The 8,568-nt window shown below is 37.9% G+C and overlaps 2 annotated features.

The window, feature by feature from the left end:
* Positions 439 to 1,265: an enhancer, noted in NCBI's record as "OCT4-NANOG hESC enhancer chr2:226980528-226981354 (GRCh37/hg19 assembly coordinates)". NCBI's record gives its function as "activates a minimal SCP1, AML or CMV promoter by ChIP-STARR-seq in primed H9 embryonic stem cells {active_cell/tissue: H9 hESC(primed)}" and the evidence as "EXISTENCE:reporter gene assay evidence [ECO:0000049][PMID:30033119]".
* Positions 1,650 to 1,944: an enhancer, noted in NCBI's record as "tiled region #10559; K562 Activating non-DNase unmatched - State 24:Quies, and HepG2 Activating DNase matched - State 5:Enh". NCBI's record gives its function as "activates a minimal TATA promoter and a strong SV40 promoter by Sharpr-MPRA in K562 cells, with weak activation in HepG2 cells {active_cell/tissue: HepG2 | K562}" and the evidence as "EXISTENCE:reporter gene assay evidence [ECO:0000049][PMID:27701403]".

Raw genomic sequence — 8,568 nt, 5'->3', positions numbered from 1 at the left:
TTGTCTAACAACAAGGAAGGTACACAGAATCAGTAGTAGCACTAGCCCTACTATTCTATTGAAGAATCTATAGAATCATGACAAATGATCTTGATGGATCTTTTCACCATTTATGGGCCTTAAAACTTTAATGCATTCATTCATTCAATAATAATTTATTGAACAACTAACTTGGAAACATAACTACAGAAGATGAGAAGATGAGAATCAGTAACTAAGACTGATATGTTCTACTTTCTATCAGTATGACTAGTAAGAAAGGAAAATTTTAATTTTTTATTCATTTTATAAATAGTTGCATAATACTTATTATATACACTGAGCACTGTTCCAAGTACTTCACAAATATTACCTAATTTAAATCTTATAATAACGCTATAGGTAATACATTATACTTATTTACATTCAAGGAATTGACACATAGAAGTTTAGTAACATATCCAAAGCTATATATTGCTAGTAGGTGATGGGAGCAGAAATGCAGGAATGAGCCCTGCTAAACTGGCTTCTGAGTTCATCCTCTTAGCCACTTAACCATGGTGCTTCTCCGGAAGTAATTGAATAGGATTAATTCTAATTGTAATAAGTGATATAAAGGAGATACACAGAATGCTGTAAAATGAGAATAACAATATCTGCCAACAAATGACTTTTTGAGAGCTCATTGTGTTCCATGCTCTGTGGAGTCCACGATGCCTTTAATTTCCTTTACTGAGCTCCTCTCACCACTAAAATACATTATGATTTGGAAATTTAACAAATGTTTTTCTAACAGCGATCTGCTAGTTCTTCTGCAAAAAATAAAAAAAGAAAGTGGCCCAAGCAATTACTTTAAAATATTATTATGCAAATGTTACATTAATTTAGAAAAAAACATGGCTGAATTGCATTGCCATTCTTCCAAAGCAAAATCTCATTTGATAAAAACAGTTTCTTTGCAAGTGAATGGTACAACACCTTTAAATACAGTTAACAACAACAAAAAAGTATTCAGGCCTGCTGTGACCATTGCTGACAATGAATGCAGTAGCAAGTCCTTACATCAGCCTGATGAAGTAAATACCAAGAGAGAAATGTTGTTCTAGATTAAATCACAAAAAGAGTAGCCAAGACTGTCCTTTTTATTACCTGTTTGTTTAAGGCTTATCTGGCTGTTGATATGCAACAAATGGCCTCTCGCAGGAACAAAATATATATCTTTGCCAGAAAGTTCTTGATAAAAAAAAAAAAAAAGTGCCTGATTCACTGCTATATGTCCTACTCTTTAAACAGGACCAGACAGATAGTAAGTTCTCAATAACTACCATTAGAATATTGAATTTTGAGTAGATGTCTTTTTGGTTACATCAATACTAGTCAACCAAGGAAGTCTAAATGGGACTGACATAATGTGGGTGAAAGTTACCCATTACATCTAGATTCTAGTCCAGCCTTTACCACCAATTTAGCTTGTGATCTGAGGTGAACGACTTTATCTCCCTATTTCTGTCCTTTCTCAGCTATGAAAGACCTAATACACTTCTAAAAGTGAACAGGCACACATCCCTTTGATAACCTGTTCTCAGTTTTAGCTTGCCAGAAGTTTATAACTTTATTTTTTACTACAATTAATATCTTTTTCTTGTGGTAGTGGGAGGAGAAACATAATGATGTACATGCAAAACCAAATATGCCAAAAGAATGCATGTATTTTCCCTCTGGAAGGAGTGCATGAAAGTTAGGCATGGTGAGTAACCCCGACTGATTAACTCTACCACTGATTAGAACACTGACTCACCATATGACTAACCACACATCAGATATTTATCTTGGGCCAACCCTGGTTGACTCATAATCTATGGTTTAAGATGAAGATCGGAGCTACTTTTGATCTTCTTCTTGCAAGCATTACAAAGAAGATAATACCCTGTGTACTAGCAGAGCCAACTTTACTGCCACAGAGGATGTACCCAACTCCCATTATTCTAATTCACTGGAGAACAGGTTACAGCAATAGCAACAGAGTCTGAAATAATCACTTTCAAATTTGTACTTGGGGCTGGAGAAGCTGATAGAAGTTATACCCCATTGTGTAGCTTTGAAAAAATAAGTATCTGAAAGCATGTGTAGACTTTTAAAAATAATCACATCCCTGTAACATTAGACACAGAAAACCAATATCAAAAATAAACCATGTATTTATCCACTTTATAAACATTTTTCCCTTCTGATTTCTATATGGTTATAGATTGTAATCTTTAAAGGCAGAGATTGAGCACAGTTTGATATGAAGGATATTGATCAGGGACCAACACCTGGGGAAGGGAGGGGTCAGCAGTAAGAGTAGGCAAAGAGAGAAGTCAAACATTGAGGCAAGCCCAACAAAGCCTTGGCCGAGTGTGCAGGGAGTTTTGGAGTGCGTATGGCTTAACAGGCTTGTTCCCCAGGAGTCAGAATGACTGCACTTTAGTACCCGCCAGAGGTCAGTCACTGGATGTGGGCTACTATGGAAAGGACGTGACCTTAGCCAGATCGCTCACTGAGGAGGCACCTAAAGGAGCTGACAGCTAGACCAGGCATGTGGTCAGCAGCAGCAGTAGAGGCAACAGTCCATTTCTGAAGAGGATCTGGGTAACAAAACTCCTTGTCTATCACTCATATCACATAGTGAGTAATTTTTAAAGAGAAAAATGCAGAATATGGCCAAATTTCTATGAGACAAACATAACTGCTTGATAATAAAATTGCTGTTCTATGATTTAATATGATTGTCCAACTGGGATGCTAGCGTAAAGCTTACTTTCTGCAACATACAAATATCTTGAGGCCATGGACTATATCACTGAACTGTATTTTTTTTTCAAAACTATATTAAGAAATCATTCAACACATCTAGTAATTGGCTGGCTCTTGTGATTCAGTTTTTTCAGAATAAAGATATGGTCATATGCCTTGAATGGTCAGAATTTACTATAGAGGGAAAGCTTAATGTGTCTACGTAATGTAACTATATATACATGTGTAAATATATAAATATATAAATATTTATATATAAATATATAAATATATAAATATATAAATATTTAAATATATAGATATATATGCATGTATGTGAATATATATACAAATTGTGAGCTCTCACTCACAAATTATGAGCTGTAAGTCACAAAGGATGCATGATGGTTAATTTTATGTGTCAATTTGACTGAACCATGGGCTGCTCAGATATTTGGTCAAACATTATTCTGTATGTGTGAGGATTTTTGGATGAAATCAACATTTGAATCAGTCAGTACACTGAGTAAAACGGATTGCTCTCCCCAGTGTGGGTGGCCCTCCTCCAATCAGTTGAAGGCTTGAATACAACAAAAAGCCTGCCCCCTCCCACAAATAAGAAGAAACTTTTCCTGCCTGACTGCATGAGCTGGGACATCAGTCTTTACTCATCTTTAGACTCAAACCAAAATGTTGGCTGTCCTAGTCTCCAGCCTCTGCCAACTTTTGGATTTTAGACTGGAATTATACAATCATCTCTCCCGCGTCTCCAATAGATTTTGGGAGTCTCAGCCTCCATAATCTTATAAGCTCATTCCTTATAATAAATATTTTTGAGAGGATATGTCAATAAATATCACAATCAAAATACATAAATTCACCACCTGCACTTCTCTATTTAATTCTTTTTTTATTATTATTATACTTTAAGTTTTAGGGTACATGTGCACAACGTGCAGGTTAGTTACATATGTATACATGTGCCATGTTGGTGTGCTGCACCCATTAACTCATCATTTAACATTAGGTATATCTGCTAATGCTATCCCTCCCCTCTCCCCCTACCCCACAACAGGCCCTGGAGTGTGATGTTCCCCTTCTTGTGTCCACGTGTTCTCATTGTTCAGTTCCCACCTATGAGTGAGAACATGCGGTGTTTGGTTTTTTGTCCTTGCAATAGTTTGCTGAGAATGATGGTTTCCAGTTTCATCCATGTCCCTACAAAGGACATGAACTCATAATTTTTTTATGGCTGCATAGTATTCCATGGTGTATATGTGCCACATTTTCTTAATCCAGTCTATCATTGTTGGACATTTGGCTTGTTTCCAAGTCTTTGCTATTGTGAATATTGCCGCAATAAACATACGTGTGCATGTGTCTTTATAGCAGCATGATTTATAATCCTTTCGGTATATACCCAGTAATGGGATGGCTGGGTCAAATGGTATTTCTAGTTCTAGATCCCTGAGGATTCGCCACACTGACTTCCACAATGGTTGAACTAGTTTACAGTCCCACCAACAGTGTGAAAGTGTTCCTATTTCTCCACATCCTCTCCAGCACCTGTTGTTTCCTGACTTTTTAATGATTGCCATTCTAACTGGTGTGAGATGGTATCTCATTGTGGTTTTGATTTGCATTTCTCTGATGGCCAGTGATGATGAGCATTTTTTCATGTGTCTTTTGGCTGCATAAATGTCTTCTCTTGAGAAGTGTCTGTTCATATCCTTTGCCCACTTTTTGATGGGGTTGTTTGTTTTTTTCTTGTAAATTTCTTTGGGTTCATTGTAGATTCTGGATATTAGCCCTTTGTCAGGTGAGTATATTGCAAAAATTTTCTCCCATTCTGTAGGTTGCCTGTTCACTCTGATGGTAGTTTCTTTTGCTGTGCAGAAGCTCTTTACTTTAATTAGATCCCATTTGTCAATTTTGGCTTTTGTTGCCATTGCTTTTGGTGTTTTGGACATGAAGTCCTTGCCCATGCCTATGTCCTGAATGGTATTGCCTAGGTTTTCTTCTAGGGTTTTTATGGTTTCAGATCTAACATTTAAGTCTTTAATCCATCTTGAATTAATTTTTGTATAAGGTGTAAGGAAGGGATCCAGTTTCAGCTTCCTACACATGGCTAGCCAGTTTTCCCAGCACCGTTTATTAAACAGGGAATCCTTTCCCCATTGCTTGTTTTTGTCAGGTTTGTCATTGATCAGATAGTTGTAGATATGTGGCATTATTTCTGAGGGCTCTGTTCTGTTCCATTGGTCTATATCTCTGTTTTGGTACCAGTACCATGCTGTTTTGGTTACTGTAGCCTTGTAGTATAGTTTGAAGTCGGGTAGGGTGATGCCTCCAGCTTTGTTCTTTTGGCTTAGAATTGACTTGGCAATGTGGGCTCTTTTTTGGTTCCATATGAACTTTAAAGTAGTTTTTTCCAATTCTGTGAAGGAAGTCATTGGTAGCTTGATGGGGATGGCATTGAATCTGTAAAATATCTTGGGCAGTATGGCCATTTTCATGACATTGATTCTTCCTACCCATGAGCATGGAAAGTTCTTCCATTTGTTTGTATCCTCTTTTATTTCATTGAGCAGTGGTTTGTAGTTCTCCTTGAAGAGGTCCTTCACATCCCTTGTAAGTTGGATTCGTAAGTATTTTATTCTCTTTGAAGCAATTGTGAATGGGAGTTCACTCATGATTTGGCTCTCTGTTTGTCTGTTATTGGTGTATAAGAATACTTGTGATTTTTGCACATTGATTTTGTATCCTGAGACTTTGCTGAAGTTGCCTATCAGCTTAAGGAGATTTTGGGCTGGGACAGTGGGGTTTTGTAGATATACAATCATGTCATCTGCAAACAGGGACAATTTGACTTCCTCTTTTCCTAATTGAATACCCTTTATTTCCTTCTCCTGCCTAATTGCCCTGGCCAGAACTTCCAACACTATGTTGAATAGGAGTGGTGAGAGAGGGCATCCCTGTCTTGTGCCAGTTTTCAAAGGGAATGCTTCCAGTTTTTGCCCATTCAGTATGATATTGGCTGTGGGTTTGTCATAGATAGCTCTTATTATTTTGAGATACGTCCCATCAATAGCTAATTTATTGAGAGTTTTTAGCATGAAGCGTTGTTGAATTTTGTCAAAGGCCTTTTCTGCATCTATTGAGATAATCATGTGGTTTTTGTCATTGGTTCTGTTTATATGCTGGATTACGTTTATTGATTCGTGTATGTTGAACCAGCCTTGCATCCCAGGGATGAAGTCCACTTGATCATGGTGGATAAGCTTTTTGATGTGCTGTTGGATTCAGTTTGCCAGTATTTTATTGAAGATTTTTGGATCGATGTTCATCAGGGATATTGGTCTAAAATTCTCTTTTTTTGTTGTGTCTCTGCCAGGCTTTGGTATCAGGATGATGCTGGCCTCATAAAATGAGTTAGGGAGGATTCCCTCTTTTTCTATTGATTGGAAGAGTTTCAGAAGGAATGGTGCCAGCTCCTCCTTGTACCTCTGGTAGAATTCGGCTGTGAATCCATCTGGTCCTGGACTTTTTTTGATTGGTAAGCTATTAATTATTGCCTCAGTTTCAGAGCCTGTTATTGGTCTATTCAGAGATTCAACTTCTTTCTGGTTTAGTCTTGGGAGGGTGTGTGTGTCGAGGAATTTATCCATTTCTTCTAGATTTTCTAGTTTATTTACGTAGAGGTGTTTATAGTATTCTCTGATGGTAGTTTGCATTTCTGTGGGATCGGTGGTGATATCCCCTTTATCATTTTTTATTGCGTCTATTTGATTTTTCTCTCTTTTCTTCTTTATTAGTCTTGCTAGTGGTCTATCAATTTTGTTGATCTTTTCAAAAAACCAGCTCCTGGATTCATTGATTTTTTGAAGGGTTTTTTGTGTCTCTAGTTCCTTCAGTTCTGCTCTGATCTTAGTTATTTCTTGCCTTCTGCTAGCTTTTGAATGTGTTTGCTCTTGCTTCTCTAGTTCTTTTAATTGTGATGTTAGAGTGTCAAGTTTAGACCTTTCCTGCTTTCTCTTGTGGGCATTTAGTGCTATAAATTTCCCTCTACACAGTGCTTTGAATGTGTCCCAGAGATTCTGGTATGTTGTGTCTTTGTTCTCGTTGGTTTCAAAGAACATCTTTATTTTTGCCTTCATTTCGTTATGTACTCAGTAGTCATTCAGGAGCAGGTTCTTCAGTTTCCATGTAGTTGAGCGGTTTTGATCAACTACATGGAACTCTTAATCCTGAGTTCTAGTTTGATTGCACTGTGGTCTGAGAGACAGTTTGTTGTAATTTCTGTTCTTTTACATTTACTGAGGAGTGCTTTACTTCCAACTATGTGGTCAATTTTGGAATAAGTGCGGTGTGCTGCTGAGAAGAATGTATATTCTGTTGATTTGGGGTGGAGAGTTCTGTAGATGTCTATTAGGTCCACTTGGTGCAGAGCTGAGTTCAATTCCTGGATATCCTTGTTAACTTTCTGTCTCATTGATCTGTCTAATGTTGACAGTGGGGTGTTAAAGTCTCCCATTATTATTGTGTGGGAGTCTAAGTCTCTTTGTAGGTCTCTAAGGACTTGCTTTATGAATCTGGGTGCTCCTGTGTTGGGTGCATATATATTTAGGATACTTAGCTCTTCTTGTTGAATGGATCCCTTTACCATTATGTAATGGCCTTCTTTGTCTCTTTTGATCTTTGTTGGTTTACAGTCTGTTTTATCAGAGACTAGGATTGCAACCCCTGCCTTTTTTTGTTTTCCATTTGCTTGGTAGATCTTCCTCCATCCCTTTATTTTGAGCCTATGTGTGTCTCTGCATGTTAGATGGGTTTCCTGAATACAGCACACTGATGGGGCTTGACTCTTTATCCAATTTGCCAGTCTGTGTCTTTTAATTGGAGCACTTAGCCCATTTACATTTAAGGTTAATATTGTTATGTGTGAATTTGATCCTGTCATTATGATGTTAGCTGGCTATTTTGCTCGTTAGTTGATGCAGTTTCTTCCTAGCCTTGACGGTCTTTACAATTTGGCTTGTTTTGCAGTGGCTGGTACTGGTTGTTCCTTTCCATGTTTAGTGCTTCCTTCAGGAGCTCTTTTAGGGCAGGCCTGGTGGTGACAAAATCTCTCAGCATTTGCTTGTCAGTAAAGTATTTTATTTCTCCTTCACTTATGAAGCTTAGTTTGGCTGGATATGAAATTCTGGGTTGAAAATTATTTTCTTTAAGAATGTTGAATATTGGCCCCTACTCTCTTCTGGCTTGTAGAGTTTCTGCCGAGAGATCAGCTGTTAGTCTGATGGGCTTCCCTTTGTGGGTAACCTGACCTTTCTCCCTGGCTGCCCTTTATATTTTTTCCTTCATTTCAACTTTGGTGAATCTGACAATTATGTGTCTTGGAGTTGCTCTCCTCAAGGAGTATCTTTGTGGCGGTCTCTGTATTTCCTGAATTTGAATGTTGGCCTGCCTTGCTAGATTGGTGGGGAAGTTCTCCTGGATAATATCCTGCAGAGTGTTTTCCAACTTGGTTCCATTCTCCCCATCACTTTCAGGTACACCAATCGACGTAGATTTGGTCTTTTCTTGGATAGCCCCATATTTCTTGGAGGCTTTGTTCGTTTATTTTTATTCTTTATCCTCTAAACTTCTCTTCTCACTTCATTTCATTCATTTGAGCTTCCGTCACTGATACCCTTTCTTCCAGTTGATCGAATCGTCTACTGAGGCTTGTGCATTCATCTCGTAGTTCTCGTGCCTTGGTTTTCAGCTCCATCAGGTCCTTTAAGGACTTCTCTGCATTGGTTCTTCTAGTTA

The sequence above is a fragment of the Homo sapiens genome, chromosome 2 (assembly GCF_000001405.40).
Source record: "Homo sapiens chromosome 2, GRCh38.p14 Primary Assembly".
NCBI classification, from domain to species: domain Eukaryota; kingdom Metazoa; phylum Chordata; class Mammalia; order Primates; family Hominidae; genus Homo; species Homo sapiens.
Note: the sequence above shows the minus strand (reverse complement) of the source record. Positions and strands in the feature narration are given on the sequence as shown.